This window comes from Homo sapiens, chromosome 12 (assembly GCF_000001405.40).
Source record: "Homo sapiens chromosome 12, GRCh38.p14 Primary Assembly".
Classification (NCBI taxonomy): Eukaryota; Metazoa; Chordata; class Mammalia; order Primates; family Hominidae; genus Homo; species Homo sapiens.
The window spans coordinates 59712650-59735384 of record NC_000012.12 but is presented as its reverse complement, the minus strand read 5'-3'; the positions used below and the strand labels follow the sequence as shown (position 1 = coordinate 59735384).

The following is a 22735-nucleotide window of genomic DNA, read 5'->3' as shown; positions in this document are numbered from 1 at the left end:
GACATCAGGCATTACTGGAACCACCTTTCATCTGAAGAGTGATATTGATATTCTTCAGTCAGAGCACATGAAAATGATTCAATGAAATACACCAACTTTGGGAAAGATATAGCATGTTAAGCTTGTGATGAGAATAATACTGAAGTTTCCTAGGAGCAAAAAACATTTTCTTCCAATATAAAAACTATGTCTTCGAGGTAGAAGTTAAATATATCTCAAATCAAAGCGGCTTTTTAGGAACCTAGTAGTGGTGTACTATTTATACCTTAGCCGTTCAGCACCTAAATCACAAAGCACAAAGGGAATATTCAAAATTTATTCATAAGCTATAAAAGACAATTTCAATTTCATTTTTGTATCATGTTTTAAACTCTTTTCAAGATGATTTAGTTATACAGAAAATGCATTGGGCTTTATTGGTGTCAATAGAAAAGGAAATGTCAAGCTGAATGTTAAGAAACTAGAGAGTAATGCATAAATGCATGAATTTATAGCAATGGATGAGATTTTAAAGAATATAGCTATATACCTAATGAAACTACTCTTTTAATGTGTTATTTATATTTTTTTGAATTTAACATCTGAATAATATCTAGTTACAAATGAAATAGAGAATGACAATGATGTATATCATCAAAGTCCCCAAATCCACTCAACTATAATCTCAGAGGAATTTTACTATTTTTGGTCCTAATGGCAGCAGAGGCTGCCTGAAGTGGCCTCTGCAAAGGCAGATGCTGCAGTGGGGCAGGTGTGGCCAGGGCCCCACACTGTGCAAAGCCGGCAGGGGCCAGGAACAGGTGGCAGCCCTGCCCCCTACCAAGTTAAAGGGGTTGGAGACCCACACTTCCCAGTGCAGGTGCAGCTGCTGCTGCTGCTGCCTAGCCATGGCTCCAGACCTGGACATCCCTGCACTCTCTGGGGCCCAGGAAGCCCCCCTGCCCCTGCAGGCTCAGAAGTGCCTGCTCCTGCTCCCTGGCCTTTCCCCACTCCTGGTGCCTGCCCAGATTTAAGGTTAAAGTTGAAGCCGAGCCTGGGTGCTGTTGTGATCTGGCCATATGCACCTGCTTGGGGCAGTGTTGACATGCCAATCCTGCCTGGAACCCCTCTGAAACTCTGTGCATCAATGAGCTCTGGGAGGGAGGCTGGGGCAGGGGAGCTGAGGGCAGCTCAGTGTGAGTCTGCAGGTGCCCCTACCTGGGTGCCATGGAGGGCATGTTGATGGTGGGAGGCAGACAGATTCCTGGGCAGAAAGGGGTGGATCCTTGGTGAAACCCCACCTTTAATCCAGAGACAGCCTGAGGCCTGGGGGTCAGACTGTCAGTTCTGGGTAGTCTGTAGACCAAAGTGAGAACTTATGGAGCTTTTTCCAGGCCCACCCATGGCTGCCCACAGACCAATCAGCATGCACTTCCTCCCTTCTGACCCCTTAAAAACCCCAGACTCTGCCAGACTCACACAGACGTCAGGATTACCAGCTGTGGGAAGGAGATACCCACTTTGGGTCTCCTCAGCTAGTCAGGACGACCTGCCTGCAGAAAGAAGGTGCCCACCGTGGCTCTCCTAAGAGTTGTTTTGTTGCTCAGTGAAGCTCCTCTCTGCCTTGCTCGCTCTCCGGTTGTCCATGTGCTTCATTCTTCCTGGAGGTGAGATGGGAGCTTGGGACCTGCTGAATGGCGGGACTGAAACAGTTGTAACATAACCAGGGCTGAAACACTCCGGGATTGCCATGTTCAGGTGATGAGAAGGAGAGAGGAGCTGTGGCCCTTTGGGAAGCCCTTAGGTCTAGGATCCCTGAGCCAGGGCTGTGACACCCTTTGGGGCTCTGTGTCTCCTGGCATTGCCAAGCTTCCAGGCACCACTGCATTCCCCAGTGCCCACAGTAGAAGCCGTTTGTGGTATGCCCGGTCCAGCCAGCAGCCTCACACAAAGCCTGTGCCTTTGCCAGCGCCTGGAGCTGCCCACCCCACAAAAAGCCAGTGCCTTTGCCAGCGCCTGGAGCTGCCCACCCTGCTGCAGCCGGCATGCCTGGCTGTGTGCAGTGGCCAGACCCCAGTGCTCACTCACACACCCCTCGCCGCTTTGCACCTTGCTCACCCTTGGCAGGTATGGGATCTGGGCAGATCCCACAAGCCGAGCACAACCTACTGGGCCAAGTAGGCTGAATGAGCCCAGCAGGCTTGAACAAAACTTGGACAAAGGCGCCGCTGGTCACAGAGGTTTTGGGCTGGTGAAGCGATACCCCTAAGGATGCCATGACCCTAACCCAAATCTTCCTGTTGATTTCCTCTATAGGGCAGAAGATCCAGTGTGTATTAAGACAACTCATATTTGTTGAGTTGCACATTGAGAGTGTAAAGTTACCACTTAAATGTGTTTGCTCACCTCCCAAGAGCCCTTTTGGGTGTGTTTGCAACTTCAGGGATTTTTTTTACCCCCACATATCAATGAGAATGAATTACATACTCTTCCCATAAAGACATTTAAAAGTGATCTTGTCTGTCAATTCATAGCAGTCAGCGCTTCATATAACACCTTCTCTTTTGCAAAATTAGTGTTGGCAGTGAGAGGATAAGGAGGCCTCTAGCTATACCTAGCTCAAGAAAGCTGTCAATTTAATAAATGAGTGGGGTGAATAACTACGCATGAAAGGAAGAGTCTATATGGAATGTCAGTTCAACTCTTATGAAGTCCCTCAGAATGTGGTACAAAAATTAAGAACATTGGGTATTTGAGAAATTTAAGTAATACAGGAAGAAAGGAGTTTGAAACTCCCTGAGAAAGGCAAAAGTGTGAAGATGAGTGAGTTACAAGTCACAAATTAGGCTTCAGTCACATATGATCTTCTGTGCACAGCACCCTCTCATATACCTACTTTGGCATATTTCCTTTAGAAGCCAAAAAGATTCAGGAGCCATTATGTTTTCTGACATAGTACTAAAACTATAGCATTTTTTTCCCCTTGAGACGGAGTTTTGCTCTTGTCGCCCAGGCTGGAGTGCAGTGGCGCGATCTCGGCTCACTTCAACCTCCACCTCCCAGGTTCAAGCAATTCTTCTGCCTCAGCCTCCCAAGTAGCTGGGATTTCAGGCATGTGCCACCATGCCAGGCTAATTTTGTGTTTTTTTTTAGTAGAGATAGGGTTTCTTCATATTGGTCAGGCTGGTCTCGAACTCTGACCTCAGGTGATCTGCCCACCTCGGCCTCCCAAAGTGCTGGGATTACAGGCATGCGCCACTGTGCCCAGCCAAAAATTAGCATTTTTAAGTATACTATATGCAAATAATGCTTTTCTCTATATATATGGAAATATATATATAATATATATGCATAGCTCCTTTTCATTGTATAAAGACCTTCACACTTTTGTTTATCCCATTCAACCACTCACAGCAATTTGTCATTGATAAATATCACTATTTAAATGACTTAAATATCACTCAAAAATCCTTATTTTACAGTGAACAAAACAAATTCTCACACAGGTTCAAGGACTTGTCTGGAGTCACACAGCTTCTAGTGGTAGAGTTGAGGTTTGACCCTATATCTTTTGCCTCTGGGTTAAATCCTCATTACAAAATGCCATGATGGTATGAAACAATATTTGTTTATGTTTTTAAAAGGCATTCAGTCATTTTCAGAGCATTTTTCCTTGTTGGTGTGGGCCAAATGAGCTCTATGTGGAAGATCCAGGAGCTGCACTATAACCATGTTGCAGATACAGAAGTCAGGCTCAGAGAGTTTACATCATTTGAATAAGAATCACATGGCTAGAAAATAACGAAGACTGGAATTTGGTCTTTTTATTTTAAATTCAAAGTTCTTAGCCAGCAAACTCAATTAATTGAAGCTATACAGAGAAAAGTTAATGGGAGGGCTATCTGGGATTCTTATCCTACTATCAAGCACTTCAAAGCACTGAGCTTGGGGCTACCAGGCTTGCTTTCCTAGGAACTAGTCCTGTGATCTTTCACCATTTAACCTTTTTGTACTTCATTTCTATAATTTGGAAAATGATGATCATATCCTTCTCTAACTGATAAATTGTTTGAAATTCAAATGAGGTAACACATGTAAAAGGATGCTATAAACTTTACAATGCCATACAAATGTAAAATGTCACTGTTTTCTACCACTTAACTCATGATTTTCTTAAAAGGTCTTAAGAGCAGTTTCTTATTTGATTCATAAATTTTGAACAAACATTTGAATAAAGTTAAAAAGTATATACATATTTAAGCTTGAATATTTTACATTTAATTTTATTAGCAGTATACAATATTTACCATTTATTAGGTAAAAGGAATTATACCAGACCAAAAAAAAGATACTTGGCATAAACACATTGAGGACCTGTCTTGGCAGAAATTTAATAAACAAACATGTATGCTTTAGATTTTCATGATAATTTATTTTATAGAGTGACAACCTCCCCCATTTTGTTTCCAATTGACTCGGTAGTGCAAAGATCTTGATGGGTCTCGGGATAAACACTGCTATACATAATCACAAGTGGTGAAGAGACTTGAGAGCAAGTCTCTCAGAGACCATGAAACTTTCTTAAATCTAATAACAAAGTAATACTTTAGTGGAGGAAAATAGTACTGGGCCATTCCATTCTGAAATGCAAGTATTTCAAGAAAGAGTTTTTGAGCATACAAATGCCATTTGGCATCTGAATGACTCTCAAAATAAACTAGGAAAATAAAAAGAAAAATATATGAACTTTGCATAGATACTCAGATAAAATGTCCTCTGTCATATGGTCACCTACCTTGTCCTCCTTAGCTAAGTCAATCCCAATGTCTTTCGGTGATTTCCTTTGTTCATTACATAGCGTTATTATTATTATTATTATTTGCTTTACCAATATTTGTACTCAGCTGCAACTATACTATGTAACAATAACTTAATACTCATATGCTAACATATATCCCACAGTTATATTAATATACTAACATAGGAAATAGGTGCCATTTTGGAAATTCCAGTAGGTCATCATTTTAGGAGGTGTGTTGTCTGTTTTTTTTTTTTTTTAATTTTAGGAAGCATACCCTTTTAGAGTGGACATAAGACTATCCATGTGGACGGGAGTAGAAAATTAAGTTATTTTTGGTAGACAGTGCTAACGGAGAGGTGCCTAAATATGAGTCAGAAGTGTTTTTTTTTTTTCTTTTGTATTGGGAATCCTAAAGAACCCTGCAAACAGTGAGGAAATATGTTAGCAATAACTGATGTGGACACCTGCAAGCTAAGGCTCCAATAATTCCTGGTAGATCCTGAACTAATTTTTGGGAAGAACCTGAGTCCTGAAATTTCAAATCTAGATTTCCACAAGTGGTATGGCCATAACTGACCTCTTTGTAGACACAGAACTATCTTGCAAATGTGAAAGCTTGCAGACTACTCAGTAGAAGAATAAGAGATGCTCATTAAGTTTTAATTATTTGAAAGAATGAATCCCTTCCTAAACTTACTTTTAGCTTTTCCACAAAGGCACATGACTGGATAGCACTTTCCAGGTGTAGGGTCAGCTAAATTGTCAGCAAGCCACATTGTGCTATTGAACAGTGTGTTTAGCTTTTCCTGAACTCGTCATTCCACATTCAGATGCTTACTTTTGATAGGTCAATTTTAAGTGACAAATGAAGACCTATTTTAAGCCAAAAATTAATGAAACTATTATGTTTACATGATGAGGATCCATCCCTTTGCTATGTAATCTTTTTAAGAACCACAAAATCACCTATCTATGCAACTTATACTAGAATTAAGGGGTGGGGAGGGAAAGGGTTGGGCTTCTTGTAGAGAAAGATGAACCATAAAAGGCTTTAGTTTACACAGGTGCAATGAAAGGATTAAAAGCTATAAAATTATAACCAAATGATAGGAATGAAAATGTCAAAAAATAATGATTTGGGAATTAGAATGAGGCATTTAATAAAGACAGAATAAAGAGAGAGAGGCAGGGAAACCGAAACAGAGAGACATGCTACTTTCTACTTTTGTCCCGGAAGATTTACATGAAGCATGAAGTCAAAAGGAGATGATAGGAAAGGCAAAGACAATGCCCACCTGGGCAGCATGGTAATCCGCATGATGAGTTATAATACCAATAGATTCCTTCGATGTTTATGGATTCTGTGAAATTGTGTAAATTGTATAGGCCTTAACAGTAACCTTAATACGAAGAATAAATGACTAAAAGGAAAAGTGCATACTTATTAACTCAATTATGCAAACCACACATAAATATGATTAATAAGAATGTGTTGAGTATCCAGTGACATCATATAGATGACACAACTTTCACCCAACTTAATGGCACCACTAATAACCTGAAGTGAAAAGGTATTTTGCAATTTTTCATTGACAAAAATGAATTACAACATGAAAGTTGAGACAAATTGGAAAAATCATCTCAGACAAGTATCTAGGTAGGACACCTAATTATTTGATATTTCCCACTTAAGAAGTTAATAAACTTTCAGAATTTCTAGGTTCCTATTTTCCTCTACTAGGAAAAAAAGTACGCTACAAAGTATAAAAGTGTATGTCTTTTCATGGGGAAATAACAGCTGATTGTCATCCCATAGGTGTCACATAATGGCATTCATTATCTAAACATTGCTTGATGATAGTTTCTTATTTATTTTTTAAGAGAAAAGATCTTGTTCTGTCATCCAGGCTGGAGTGCAGTGGCACAATCTTAGCTTACTGCAGACTCAAACTCCTGGGCTCAAGTGATCCTCCCACTTCAGCCTCCTGAGTAGCTAGGACTATAGCCATGCTCCACCACGCTCAGCTAATTGGCTTCCAAAGTGCTGGGATTACAAGCATGAGCCACCACACCTGGATGACGATAGGTTCTTGTACTTGAAAGCTCCAATACTATTTTTGTTAGTAATCTGAAAGCATATCCATCTCCCAGGGGCAAACTCATATTGATCATTTGCCATCTTAGTTCAAGACATTATCATTTATCTGCAAATTGTTACTTGCTTAAAGAGCTGCTCACAGCCAATAGGGCCTCACTCCAGTGTGTAGCTAAGAGAATATGCACTGGATGCCAGGATGTCACTAAAGGAAGTGTTTGAACTCAGAGAATTAGCAGTGAGTGAGTGCCCATGCTCTTCCACCTGGCCCAGACCCATTATGTCCCAAATCCATGGTCATCCTAATCACCCCCAGAAGTGATTTTTTTAAACATTCAGGTTGCTGTATTAAACCCACCATGTAATACTCTGCTTTATAATTTCTGCCTTTTTACTGTATGTTTTGAAGCTATTTCCATCAACTCATAGCACCCTCTCCAACCTCCTTGTTGTTATTATCTATTGGAACCTGGGTCTCTACTCACCTCTTCATACTGGCTTATGGCTAAGACTCTATCTCTGTTCCATTTCCAATCATCTTTCATAGTGACATCAGTATACATGTGGCTTCTTAAGTTTCTCAACATTTTTAAATTTCCCCTGACCTTTTGTCTCTCTCTTTTTTGTCATATTCCACCTTATTATATACTGCATGGTCATAAACTAAAATTTGTCATTAACCAATATGACACTACCTCCCCCCCAACACAATTAAAATGTAAACATCGCCCTCACCAACTTAAACTACTGTCAGTTCATTTCACTTGCTCAAATACTCTCACTATTAACAGTTTTTTAGCCTCTCCAAGATTCCCAATATGCAAATGCTATTACTTCACTGAAACCTCCGGTATTTATCAAGTTACCCTACTTTTTGTTCCTTTGTTATAGAACTTAAATTAGATGGCTAATTCTTACAACAACTCCTTTGAAAGCATTTCTGAATTATTTACTCCTCTCTTCATGATGTTTATCTGGAAAATACCTAACCCAGGATGATCTCAAGTGCATCTCTACTAAAGACCTGAAAATTGCTGGATTAGATCACAAAACCATACTAACTGGTGCCTTTAAATTTCATGATATCAAACTTCAAATGTAATCTCAACAGTGTCCCAATGCTGCAAAATAATTTTCTAGTAATTTGGCTTTCCACAGTATCTGAGATTTTGTACACCTTTTCCTCTATCCTCTGTTCATAAGTAGCCACTGCTCCATTGTCAGCCTATGATGAAACTGTTAACGTCATCACCAGGGACTAACTCATCTTTTCATGACTAAATACCTCACTCTATCTGAATATGTAGTTTTACTCCTTCTAAATACAACATATATATATTATATATATATATATATATGTCCATCTCATATTTTTAATGATCTTGCTGACAGAATTGTAATACTCAATATCAGTTGGCTAAAGTTCCTCCAACACCAGTCAGTGTTTGGATAGATACTGACAAGTTTTGCCTCATGATCACTCCTTTTGATTGTCATCCTTCTTTAGATAAGTAAATGAATTTAGTATAATTACTATTGTAATCTAGATGCTTTTAAAATTTTCTGAGGTGACTTTGCATATCTCTATTCTGATCTATTATGTATTGATCATAAAGCATAAATCTCTAGACAATCTGATTTTCAAGTATTGTTTCCCATACAATTCCTAATTTTTTTCAGATTATGTATATAATGATTACTGGGTGGTGAGTTTCTGGAGGGGCTTAGTTGAGGTTGCAACGTCTCAGGACAGGAAGGTAAGGAAAAACGTGACCTGAAACACCACAGCCAGCATCTCTGACAGCCCAAGACGGAGAATCCAAGACTAGAAATCAGATCTCCTGGTCCTTGGTTCTGTACCCTTTTAATTTTTAATGTTATTTACTAACTTGCTCACAACTAACACAATCATTATAATCTAGTGGATCAGAAACTGGTTAATAAGATTTTAGACCACATAATTCAATATCCAAGAGCAGTAAGAAAACGAAGATTGTATGAAACAAACAAAGCTGTCTGTCATAGTACCTGAAATCAATCCAATCTTCCCCTTCTTTCTCTTTTACCCTATCCTTCATTTTTTTTCTATTTTTAAAGTGGAAGATCTACTTGAAAGCCATACACTTAATATTTCCACTAATCTACAACTAAAAACTTTATTCTGTGCTTTCAATAGATTTAAAAATATTGATTCTTTAAAAACATACATTTTGGCTACCTAAAAATAGCCATTCTTTATATTCCCAAGACCCTTCTCAAAAGAGTCTCACGTCACTTTTAATTTCAGTGTGAACGCCACTGGAATTCAGAGTAGCATTCTGATAATTTACAGGTCTAAGACAAATTAAATTAGATGTGTACTCACTGATCACTTTAACTAAAATAGCTTTAAACGTGGTTGGAGGAGAAACGAGATTGAGACTAAAAAATGCTTCTGAAATCTAACCACTGACTGAATTTTGATTGCTTCTTCATATTCCATACAAGATTAGAATGGCTTAGTCCACTTAAAGTTCAGTCTGTGACTTCCTGAGAACACACTAAACACAATGTGGCAATTTTAGTCACCTCTGAAAAAAAGATGTTATGCTGTAAACAGTGCCAAGTAAACTGTCAACACTCAAAAACTAAATTACAATAATAAGAACATGTAGGAGGCTGTTCAAGAAAAGACAAGTGAAATGTCTGAAGCCTAAGGAACTAATTTATGAGCGGTGATTAAGAGAACAAAAATGAGTAGCATGGCCAAAGAATACTAAGGACAGTGATGGAATAACTTCATATTTTTTGAAAGGCTCAAACATATTGAAAAGTAAAAGCATTTATTATTCACCAGGTAGGATAATAATGATAACACTATACAACATTTTCTTTAGCATAGTTTTCAAAATACATCTCATCTATCTTAGAGTGTTATTAAGCAGTAAAGAAGTCATTTAAAATCTATAAAATACTATTTTTGTGATGAAATAATTTGGCAGAGAAAAGTTATTTCTAATGAAAGAAACTGATGAACCATTTTTAATAGGGAAATGGAGACTGACCTAACAAGGATAAATAATTCTAAAAGAATGATAGAAGGTGCCACAAAATCCTGGAAGTTGGAAGCAGACACCCTCATCCTACCTCGCACTGACACTCCCTGAATGGCATTCAGAAAACTCCTAACTTTCTTAATCTGTAAAGTAAAGCAGTAGAGAAAAGTTTCCCTCACTTTGTAAAGATCTATGAATTCATACAATAGTGATTCAAAGTGGTAAATATTTCTTTAGATAATATTAAGTTCTATGGAGTTGAAAGTGGAATCTAGCTGTTTAACGACAAACCATACCTGTAGAATGGCATTAAGAACGCATCAAAAATAGTATTCTATACTTTTAGTTATGAACATAGCAATGAATGATTTCCAGTATCTCTGTGATTAAATTTGGATGTGTTCTTGAGGGAAAGCATTCATGCAACAATATTTTTGGAATTATACTATTATTCCTTGGTAAAGAATATCAATAGGTATCATTTTTGAGCATGCATTACGTGGCAGGAAATACACTACACTTTGCATAATTCATCTAATTTATTGGTATTTTCACAAACCAAAAATTTTCTATTATTACCTTCATTTCAAGGATAAAGAATTTATAGAGACTTGCTTTTAATGTCATCCTCTTAAATGCAGAAATTCCATATACATCCTAATTTTTAAAAAGTTATTCTTAAAATACATAAAAACCCTCCATTTCTTTAAATCTAATTTTAATGATAATATTCCGAGTGACATCATAAACTAGTTAATCATGCTCTGTAAAATTAAATACAAAGTCACATTTATGTTTTAAACTCTAGCCCTTTTCTTTTATGCAGCTTGGCAAATATCTCATACATAAGCACCCAACTGGTTCCAGCAAGTCCTGTAGTAATAGTTACTTAGAATTATAATTGAATTTGCTAATCTGTGGTATTACTTCCAAGTAAATACATGTTGCACTTTGCACTTTGCAACATGTATTTACTTAGAAATATATGTTGCAACATGTTTTTACTTTGAAGTAATACAGCAGATTAGCAAGTTCAATTATCATTCTTTTTTATTATCTATATTGACATAAAAACCTACAGACTAATTTATTTTCTTCTTTCTTTAGTATACACCTGAAAAGTTGTATTAAACTATGACAACAAGCTTAGCTTTCAGGGGAGATACCCAATATGTCCTTTGGCTGGTGTGAAAGGTGAAAAGTTGCCCTGCTTTATCACATTACCAGTAATTTTTATTCCACTGTCACTTAATCCTCAGCAGTAGAATGAGACACACACACAAAACCTGTATTCTGCTGAAGATCTAACAGAAGCTGCTCTGCACTTGCACAGCCTTCAGGCTTCTCTGCTTTAAAGTTTCTTGGAAAGTGTATCTGACTGATTATGGAGCTGGTGAGGTATCTAAAATATTAAAATCATATACTATACATATATCAATCGGTAGGCCAACGACATTATACATATTTTTTAAGCCACAATTACATTTTTCATTTTGAGTTTTTATAACTTGCATGCCTGTTTAAGAATGAAAAGATGAAAATTGGTAAAATATTCACTAACTATAAGTGGGAATATACTTCTCACATGGAAGAAAAAAAGGCAATGGAAACAAAAAAAGCAATATAAACGGGAACAACAGTAGAAAACAAATACGTATTGTTTTAGAATTTTGTAATAGAAAATAGCTGAAGGATTTTCAGATCTTATAAGAGTATTTGTGCATATTTACACTGTGACCTAATAATAGCACACAGAGTCATTGTGCAATGCCTTATGCCTAAATATCCCACATTTCCACATTTCATGTTATAGGAAGGAGTGAATTTTGAATATACTGTATGTTGCCTTTATACTAAAATGCTGTTTCTTTCTAAACATTTCAAACCTTTTTTATCTTCAAGAAAGTCTTGCATTTTCCCTTTCATCAATTATTCCCTTGACCATTAAGGCTGTCTTTTATTTCTTCTGTCTTCTCCCATAGCAATTCACATCTCCGTCTTTAAAAGTATCATGAAGCTTTAATAAATTTTACTTCTCTTTATTCCTAATTAAATCTTTGTTAGCACTACATCTTTGTCACCTTTGTACATCAATATCTACCATAATTCCTGGCACACAGGAGGATCTCAATACATGTTTATTAAATGAAAGAGAAAAATATGAATGAAGGAACTTGGGTTCCAAGAAAGTAAGTAACTTCTGAAAAATCACCACATTATTGAGTGGCAGGGCAAGAACTAGGATTGTCTTTCAATGTCTTATTTGATCATTATTATAATAATTTTTATAATGATCAGTTTGTTCATTCCTTCAAAAATATTGTCTACTATATGCCAGGGTATGTCTAGGAATACAGCAATGAACAAAGCAGAAGGAAAAAAAATCTCTGCTCTCATGATATTTATATTCCAGTGGGGGACTGAAAGTTTACATTCTAAACACACATTGTCCAGTATGGTAACCATTTGCCAAGGGAGGTTTTTAAAATTTAAATTAAAGTAAAATACAATAAAAATTCAGTTCCTTTCTCAGACTAGCTTCAAGTGTTTAATAGCTACATGTGACTAGTGGATAACATATATTAGACAATCAGATTTATAGAACATTTCTATCACCACAGAAAGTTCTATAGGACACTACTATTCAAATGAAAAGCAAATAATACTGATAAGTGTTATGGAGAAAAAAACATAACCAATGAAGATGGATAGAACCGTGTGACGTGTTGTTGAAATTTTAGACAGAGTACACCTAGAAGACCTCTATGAGAGGTGATTTTTGAGTAAAGGCCTGAAAGAAATGAGGGCATTTTTAAATCCAAGGGAAAATCATTCCAGGTAAAGGAAAGAATGGGTGCAATTCCCTGAGGTGAGAGCATGGCTGGTATATTCTAGGAAGAGTAGGTAGATAGTATAGCTAAAGCAGAGTGAGCAAAAGGGAGGATAACAGAAGACAGGTTCAGGGAGATAGCAGGGAGAGTAGATAATTAGAGTGAGTTGGGAAGTCTTAGGTAGGCTCGGACATGATTGAACTTAGGTTATGACAGGATTTCATTGGTAGGTATATTCAGAAACAGGAACACCAAATCATAGACTACAAAGATAATCTAGACTATAAATAATAATACCTTGGGCCAGGTAACAGCAGCAGAGGTGATGAGAAGTGATTAAGTGTTGGATTTATTTAGAAGGCAGAACCAATAAATTTGCTAATAGAAAGTTATGCAGCTGAAAGAAGAGAGAGGAAAAGTCAAAGCATGGCTCCAATGTTTTTGACCTGATCAACAGGTTTGGAGGAGAATTTCAGAAGATGAATTTTAGGTATGCGAAGTCAGAGATGCCTGTTAAGCATTTGAGTGGAAATACTGAAAAGAGGGTTTATATATAGGTCTAGAGTTCAGGAGAAGTTGAAACTGAAGATATAAATTTAGGAGGCATCAGCCTATAAATATGAGCTACAGTCATGAGAAGGTGCAAGGTCATTTATGGAGCAAGTATATATGGAAAGGAGATCCAAGAGCCAAACTTTTGAACATTGAGAATTTAAGGGGAAAGGAAGAACCAAAAATAGATACTGAAAAGATGTGGCTAATGGCATCAAAAGAAAATATTTAAGTGTAATATTTTATAAGTAAAATCAAGAATGTGTTGTATGGAAGACCGAGGGTGATTAAGTACTGTATCAAATGCTCCAGAAAGGTCAATTACAATGGGGACTAAGAAATGACCACTACATTGGTAGCATTGAAGTCCTGAGAAACTTGGAAAGAGCAATTTCAGATGAGGGGTACAAGAAAAATTCTGATTGGAGTGGGGGCAAAAAGAAGGGGAAGAGAGAAACTGGAGCAACACTTTCAAGAAGTTTTGCTTAAAGGGAAGGACATAACTATGGTTGTGGCTGACAGGTAACATTGGTCTAAATAACATTTTCCATTTGTTTTGTTTTTTTCCCAAGTTGGAGGTTAGAATATCATGGTTATAAGCTACAGGAATGACCCAGTTGTGAGAGGGAATATTGCTAATGGAGAGAGAAGATACAATTTTGTCCACAGTAATACCCATTAATAGTTGAGGGGGTGAGAAAGGAAGTGTATAGTTGGCCTTAGTTAGGATAGATACTGATACAGGAAAGAAGGTAAAGTATGTCAGATCTGGATGTAAACAGGCAGGAGAATGTGGTAGTAGAAGTATGTGGAAGTTCTACTGATAACGTAAACTTTCTGAATGAAGTAGGAATTGAAGTTACCTTCTGGGATGAAGAAAGGAGGGAAGACAGTGGCTTTGGGGAATATGGATTAAATGACAAATAATCATCTCATATAGCGAGAGAGAGAGACTGGACTAGAGTAATATAATATAAAATATGGTTACCAAGCAGCATTTCGGGCCCACCTAAGATTATCGATCATCAATTAAAGAGATTAGTAAATCCTAGAGTGTGGTTTACATTCTGCCATGGAGACTCAAAGGAACTAAGCTGATGGCTTTAGCCAGAGTTCTGGTTTCATCAAGAGATACAAAAAAATTAATGGTAGGTAGATAAGTTAAGAATGTATGCAAGAAACTTAAATTAATTGAATCTGAAGTTTAGATGGTAAGGAAGGTGAAAATGGTATGGAAAGCAGTGATGGATGAGGTAGTATATCAATAGCTTAACAGTACTGATGGAGTTAAAGGATTATTATAGTTGCAGTACTAGAAAACAATGCGGTGGAAGATACGACATGGTGATTGAGGAGTAAGTTATTTAAAAATTGAGATTATTTGAAAGCTATTGATAATGACAAGTTTAAGGGTGTGAACATGGGAGTTGGGGAGCTTCTGGAAGACAAGGAGTGGGGAGGAGATTGGATGATGATAATGGTGATGATAGCTATTGCTTAATTCATTCCCTTTTCTCAATTATGACAAAGTGTCTGGATTGGATATATAATTTTCCCCTATATTGTAGAAAAATCACTAAAATTTAGAAGGGATGGATAACACACTTAAGGAGATACCGGAAACAGGACATTCCTTGGTCTGACATCAAATATATGCTTTTGTTCACTATTTCATTTTAGTGATACAAGAAGTTTACCCTACTATGACTGGTCCTTTTCAATGACAAAAAGATATACATTTCTGTTGTTATGGGTACTAATTATGGTCTCACAAGACTAAAAACCTATTTCAAGAAAACATAGACCAAATTTATGAAAGGGTGCTTAAAAAAAGAAAAAGACCTAATAAATTTTAGTCAACTATAAATACATAAGTAACAATTAACAATAACTTAGGAAGATTCCAAACTGGAACAAATTTATTATCTTTCCAATTGTGTTCTTTAGACAGCGATCCCATAATAACACGTCAATCAACTGATGGAATATACAGCTATTGCATATGATACCAACCTGAAGAATTAGAAAAGAAAGGTATAGTCATGAGGCATTCCTATTCCAGAAAAGTTTACAAAAACATGAGATTCAAAGTCAGGTAGACCCAGGTATGCATCCTGTTTCCAATATTTACTTAGAAGATTAGCATGTTTATAATAGCTAAGGTTCCACCACTGATAAATGCCAACTTTCCAGTGGACCACGGAAAATTGTCTATTTTGGGCCACTCCGTGGGAGGCCATGGAGCTTTTATTCATGCTGTGAAGAATCCTGGAAAGTGCAAATCTAGGGCAGCATTTGCTCCAATTTGCAACCAGTTCTCTGTTTTTGGAGGGTGGAGGTGGGGATGGGGTAAAAAATCTCTCAATGAATATTTGAAATCAGATCACAAAAATAAAAGGCTTATGATGCTGCCAAGAAAAAAAGAAGATTAACATGTTTATTCTTAGTAAATTCAAAATACAGCAATCCTCAATAAGTGCAGATTGATATAAAATATATATTTAATACTTTTGTTTCCCTTTAAACCTACAGCTATCACTAATGAATTTATCTAAAGTTTATTTATTACAAACTGTTATAAAATTTGGTTTAACTCATTTTTTTGGGATCACACATTTTGTATATTTTTCCCTTATGTTATAAAATAGATCTTTTTCAAGCTTCTCTTGGGCCCCATTTTTCTGTCTTATTTCCCACTGCAATTCCAATATTGTGGAATTTAATTAACACATCTCTTCATATAATGCATACTCTTCAGGATTTCATATTGTTTTATTATATCTCTTCTTAGACTTGATATTTTTACCTTGTAAAGATAAAATCTGATTTGTCTTTCTTACTAGAACAGGTATTGTCTGTTTCAAAAACAAACATGAATTCACAAATATGTGCTTTTGATGATTTTAGCTTCTCTGTTTTTAATTTTCTCTGGATGCCATGTTATGAAGAATGGTGCTCATTTTGTGCACCTATTGTGTTATAGTCTGTTTGAACACAATACACAGCTATTCACAGCAAAGGGAAAGCACAATGACCTCTGTAATTAAAATGGATTTTACAATTTATACATTCTCACATGTGACAAGTTTTCTTACTCTAGTGCATTGAAAAAGACAAAAGAAGTGGGGGAATCGGGTCCTAGATGATAGAACATAAAGCCTGGACTAAATGTTAAAACATCTAATCTAGATAGTGTCTAGAAGTACCATAGGCTAAAGATGGCCAGAGTAACAGAAAGATGAATCACTTTTTCTCCTTATGTCTACAATTCTTTTAGGTTGAAATATAAGGCAAAGCAGGCATTATCATGTGATACTTATTTCCTTCTTATCCATTTTCCCTAGTTCCCATGCTGCAGAAGCTGTCCACATCTTTGGATAATTTTGAATTTTCAAAACAGCTTAAATAAGCTCAATGTTATAACATAACCTTAACATAAACATGTTGAGAAGGTAAGACATCTTCACCCAGATAGCCACGTTATTCTTTCTTATTGTATTTAATTATGAGATATGAGCTAATCAGTAGAGTTCAGAAATATTAGTTCATACAAATAAACCATGGGCATTTTATACATAAGGAATTGAAGCAGAGAGGTATCGAGTATCTTCCCAAAATTCCAATTAGTAGGAAGCAGCACTGGAATCTGAACACAGCCAAATCCTCCATGCCCTACCACTATTCCACTATGTCAATGCCTCTTAGAAACAAAAAAGGCAAAAAATTGTTTAGATATTTAGTAAAAACGATGAGTTATTCATCTCTGAAAGCTTTTGGTATGCTTTGAAACAAGATTGTATGCAGGCTCTTTACTTAAAATCAATGATTAAGCACTCCAAAGGAATAAATAAACAAGATTGCCAGTGGAAAAAGGAAGACCTCTTAGAAAAAAATCACCACAACAAATAAAGAGTTATATTTGGAATATTACATAAGTACCATTGAAGCTATAACTAGTACTTGTATATATAGCTAATTTAATTTTGACCTTATTAAATTTATTCTATGGTTAATAAATATTTATGACTTAGCTAAAGCAATAAAAAGAGAACTGTCTGGAACCAAACAGAAATTTAGATACTTTGTGAGATGTATTTTTCTGACACTATTACTGCCCCTCCTAAGGGAGCATGAATGTCTGCAGAAAATATATCTTTCAAAAGGCATTTCTGTGTCCAATTTTGTTTCTTCACAAATAGGTAGAAAAAAAATCTAAATATAATTGTTCAACATTCACTGCTGTTTCATTTAATAAGCCAAAGAGAATAAAATCACTCAAATAAACAAGAGATTACAAATATAAACTTAAAATATGAAGTGAATAAAAACCTTTCCTTTTTTTCTCCCACATTTGTATTTTGGAGTGTTTATAGGGCACAGAGGTGAGACTATTTTGTTAGGGAAACAGTTTCAGAAGCATGCATGAATTGCCTCAGGTTTCTAGTTCAGTTGTGTTTGATCTAATTTGGGAGCCAACTCTAAGGGGCAGAGGTTATGTTGCCTTTGAAAAGTTGTATCTAGCTTCTAAAACATATCATGTTCGATTTAAGGAATACCATTAAGTAATATTTTTGCCACAACAGAGGTACTTAATATTTCTCGTGAGAAGCAGTGTTCATGAGAAGGACTTACAGTTCATTTTATCAGGGTCATCTGATTAAACTTGTTTTTCTTTATCTGCAAGTGCCAAACTAACTCTGTGTAGATATTTTACATACATTTTAAACTAATCATGAAATACTCCTGGCGCCCAAGAGGCATTTGGAAAGTTAATGACAACCTCTGTGTATTCAAGAACACTGTAACTAAGGTTATTAAAATTCAACCCTTTGCATATTTCTGATGGAAGTGGGGAAAATTTGTCCCACATAACAAGAGACTAAGAATACAAAGGGAAGCTTTAAAAATTTTCTCAGTCTCTAGATCCATGCTCACTCTTTGGAAGATGATAGAAATCTGAAACATTGAGAAAGACCTATTTCAACAGCAATTTCTATATCCCAGTTCTTGCCCAAAAGTCAAATAAGCAACCATCTGTTGTTTGCTACGTAGATTTTACAGCTGCCGTTGCCAAAACACCTATCATTTCATCTTTGCACCAATATCACAGCCGCTTACACCAGCTGAGATAAAAGCCTAAATGTTTTGAACTTACTATACGATTTTTTCCTAATAGAACCAAAAAGATACTTTAAATGCTTTTGATTTATAGATAATTCTTTTATTTATTTATTTTTATTTATTGTGAGACAGAGTCTTGCTCTGTTGTCCAGGCTGGAGTGAAGTGGTGCCATCTCAGCTCACAGCAACTTCCCCTCCTGGGCTCAAGTTATCCTCCCACTTCAGCCTCCTGAGTAGCTGGGACACAGCACACACCACCATACCCCAGTAATTGTTTGTATTTTGGGTAGAGGCAGGGTTTCACCATGTTGTCCAGGCTGGTCTTGAACTTCTGTACTCAAGTGATCCCCCTGCCTTGGCCTCTCAAAGTTCTGGGATTACAGGCATGAGCCACTGCACCCAGCTGATTCTTGTATTTCTGTATCAGTGTAAGTCATATACATGAACTCAGGATTATCTGGGAGAAGATTGGAAAATTTAAAAGAAATTCCAAATCGCCTGCACACACATCATATTTCTCCTTTTGCTCCCCTTTGTTCACTACCCAGATTTCTCTCATAGTCCTATTTACAGATGCTCTTTACTCATCATATAAGAAGAAGAGATGAATCTGACGTAGATCGGAGTTCTATTTAACGGTTTTATTCCATTTCAGCCTTCCAAGAATGCACACTCATTTCCTGGGGTGCTGAGAATATATACAGGTTGCTTCCACAGGCTGCCGCTAATCCAATCATTGACTGCATGAGATGCAAGGCCAAAGCAGGAAACCACCACCCAACAGAATGCTACAGTCATGCACAGCACATTCTAATCAGAATAATTCAAGGCTGTGGATCTTCAGTTGTTCATCAGTTTTCAAAAATCCATCAAAGCTTCCACAGAAGCTTTCCAAAGCTTTACACTTAACACCCTTCTAGTGATTAGTACTATTCTAAGTGTAATTATTATTGCTTTTATAGCTTAAGAAAGTTGTGTTCCTTTAAAAAGAACTTCAGTAAACTCCAGGATGATAACCAATGCCTACCTACAAAAACGCTAATGTAAATTAGCTTTGTGGTTGTGCAGGCTTATCCAATTCTTATAAACAACAGATAAACAAACTGTAATAAAAACATTGGGTAATTACAAACACCTTTATAAAGTATAAGAAATGCGGTAATTTCACCAGAGAAAGGGAATAGGTATATTCAACCTTCATTATTTGCAGATTCTATATTTACATATTTATCTACTTACTAAAATTGATTTGTAACCTTAAAATCAATACTCTCAGTTCTTTTGCAGTCACTGGTGGCTATGTGCAGAGTGGTGAAAAATTTGGATCACCTGACATGCATTGTGTGCCCTCACCTTCCCAGCGGAGGTCAAACAAGATGATGAACTGCTTTCTTGGTCCAGCTCCCAGAGTGTAAACAACTGTCCTTTTCAGGGTCTATATAATACCACATTTTCTGCATTTTTGTGCTTTTAGTTGGTAATTCTTCTGTTTAAAATGGCCTCAAAGCATAATGCTGAAGTGCTGTTTGGTGTTCCTAGGCACAAGACGGCTGTGATATGACTTATGGAGGAAAGGTATGTGTTTAATAAGCTTAATTCAGGAATAAATTATAGCACCTTTGGCCAAAATTCAATGTCAGTCAGTGAAATATATTGAATACAATGTCTTTAAATGGAAACACATAGAAAACAAAGTCATGGATTGCTTGGTGAATTAAAATTTTATGATCAGAGGTTCAGGGGCCTGTAACCCTAAATCTCCCCTAGAAGCAGCAATTTGGTATTTTTTCATTCAGTGTTTGTGGCAACTTTATAGAGCATAACTACCACAAATAATGACAACCACCTGTATTTTAACACATTCTGGATTATGCATTTGCTCTTAAAATTGATTAAAAGGGAGGAGAGTACTCAGAGTTATGATCCTAGTACCTGTTACGAACTAAATTATATCCCTCCAAAATTCATGTTGAAGCCCTAACACTTAATGTATCTGTCTGTGGAGTTAAGACCATTGAGGAGGTAATTAAGGTTAAATAAGGTCATAAGAAATATTAAGTTGGGCCATAATCCACTATGACTAGTTTCCTTATAAGAAGAGAGAGAGGCCGGGCATGTTGGCTCATGCCTGTAATCCCAGCACTTTGGGAGGCCGAGGCGGGTGGATCACCTGAGGTCAGGAGTTCAAGACCAGTCTTGCCAATGTGGCGAAACCCCATATCTACTAAAAATACAAAAATTTGCTGGGCATGGTGGTGGGCACCTGTAATCCTAGCTACTCGAGAGGCTGAGACAGGAGAATCACTTGGACCTGGGAGGCGGAGGTTGCAGTGAGCCTAGATCGTGCCACTGCACTCCAGCCTGGGCGGCAGAGCAAGACTCCATCTCAAAAGGAAAAAAAAAAAGAGAGAGAGAGAGAGAAAGACACCAGGGGTGGGTGCACATGCAAAGAAAAGACCATGTGAGGACACAACTAGGAGGCAGCCATCTAACAAGCCGAAGAGAGAGGCCCCACCAGAAACCAGCCCTACTGGCACCTTGATTTTGAACTTCCTGCCTCCACAGCTGTGAGAAATAAATTTCCATTGTTTAATCCACTCAGTCTGTGATATTATTTTATGGCAGCTAGAGCAGACTAACATGGTAGCATAGATGCCTATCCTCTGATCCTCTTCTCTTTTGTTTATATGGATACAATATGTGGCCCAGGATCATTTCCAGTAGGTTTTAGACTGTCAAACACAACTTTCTCCATCTTTTCACCATAGATCAATCACATTCACCTCCTCTGGGCTACTAGAACTCTCCATGACTCTTCCACGGCTTTCACAAATACTGTTTCCTCTGCCTCAAACACTTCCTCTCCCTTGACTAACGCTGCCTCCTTATCCTTCAAATTCAGCTCCAAGAAATATTGCCTGATCACTCAATTATGAGATCGATTTCCATTTTCTGCTGTTGCATGGCACCCACTGTGCCTCTTTACTAACATTTATCATAACTGTAATGAAATAAGGAAAAGTGTAAATGGCTATTTAATATTCTGAAAGCATAGCCTGTGTCTGTTGGCTCGCTGTGGTTTTTCCAATGCCACACCAGTGTTTTGCACATTTAAGATGCTCAGTGTGTATCTATGGAATAAATGAATGAGTGAAATTATGTATAGTTTTCTTCTTAATTGTGATGCTGGATTACCTGGACATCCCTACCTCTGGTGACTACAAATGAATCCTCAGGCAATGATTGTGCAAGGCTAGTGTCTGCCATTGCCAGGGCGTCCCCTTAGGGTCAAATCTATGAACCACACTCCTGAAGCATATACTTCCAGCCAGCTGAGCAAATTCTAACTCAAGGAGAGCCATCTAGATTAACCATTTAAAAATCCCTTTGGAACAATGCATTTACTCTGCCAAAGTCACTACTATTATAATGAAAAAATATTCAATGTGTATTTACTTTGCATTTTGTGACATAATCCATCAAACTTAAGTCACCCACAGCATATGAAAATATAAAAATTAATTTCAATTTTTACAGAGCCCTTTAAAATAGTTAATTAAAAAGAACTGCGGTAAATTCTTCAATCCTAATATGTTGTTGAGGAAGAGCTGGGAAAGAGTAGGAAAGGTCCTTCTTTTAAAGGAAACATTCAGCTGGGTGCGGTGGCTCATGCCTGTAATCTCAGCACTTTGGGAGGCCTAGATGGGTGGAACACCTGAGGTTGGGAGCTTGAGACCAGACTGGCCAACATGGTGAAACCCTGTCTCTATCAAAAATACAAAAATTAGCTGGGTGTGGTCGTGGGTGCCTGTAATCCCAGCTACTCAAGAGGCTGAGGAGGGAGAATTACTTGAACTCTGGAGGCAGAGGTTGAAGTGAGCCGATACTGTGCCAGTGCACTCCAACCTGGGCAACAGAGCGAGACTACATCTCAAAAAAGAAAAGAAAAGAAAAAAAAAGAAAAGAAAAGAAAAGAAAACATCCATAGAAAGTTTTCAGAATAACCAGTTAGTTCACGAGAGCATTTCATGCTAGACCTCACTAGGACCTTTGGGGAACTTAACCACATGTATCTATCATATATCCTAGTTAAAGAAGAAGGCATTCAATAAGGACATGAAAGAATGTCAGAGAATATGAGGGGGGATTAAAAAAACCAAGCTATGATGCTGACCAAATCACATGACAAAACTGATTGCTCCAGTGGGGACATCACAGCTGCCACCAATGACCACATAGTTTACACTGCAAGTCCCATTGACCCTAAACACTGACACTAGTTTTGCGTGAATGGATTATTAATTACCTATAACCACCTCAT

The 22735-nt window shown here is 37.2% G+C and overlaps 1 protein-coding gene across 13 annotated transcripts in view; it reads right to left on the bottom strand.

The window, feature by feature from the left end:
• The window catches only part of SLC16A7 (solute carrier family 16 member 7), a 193813-nt gene that overhangs the window by 54457 nt on the left and 116621 nt on the right, over nucleotides 1-22735 (bottom strand). Inside the window, exon 2 of one of the 13 annotated variants that reach the window (XM_017020226.3) lies at nucleotides 1198-1640. The exons of 11 other annotated variants lie outside the window; for them this stretch is intronic. The gene's annotated coding sequence lies outside the window, so the exon portion shown is untranslated. Of the gene's footprint in view, nucleotides 1-1197; nucleotides 1646-22735 lie in introns of those variants that run through there. One more of the 13 variants, XM_011538995.3, reaches the window with a different exon arrangement.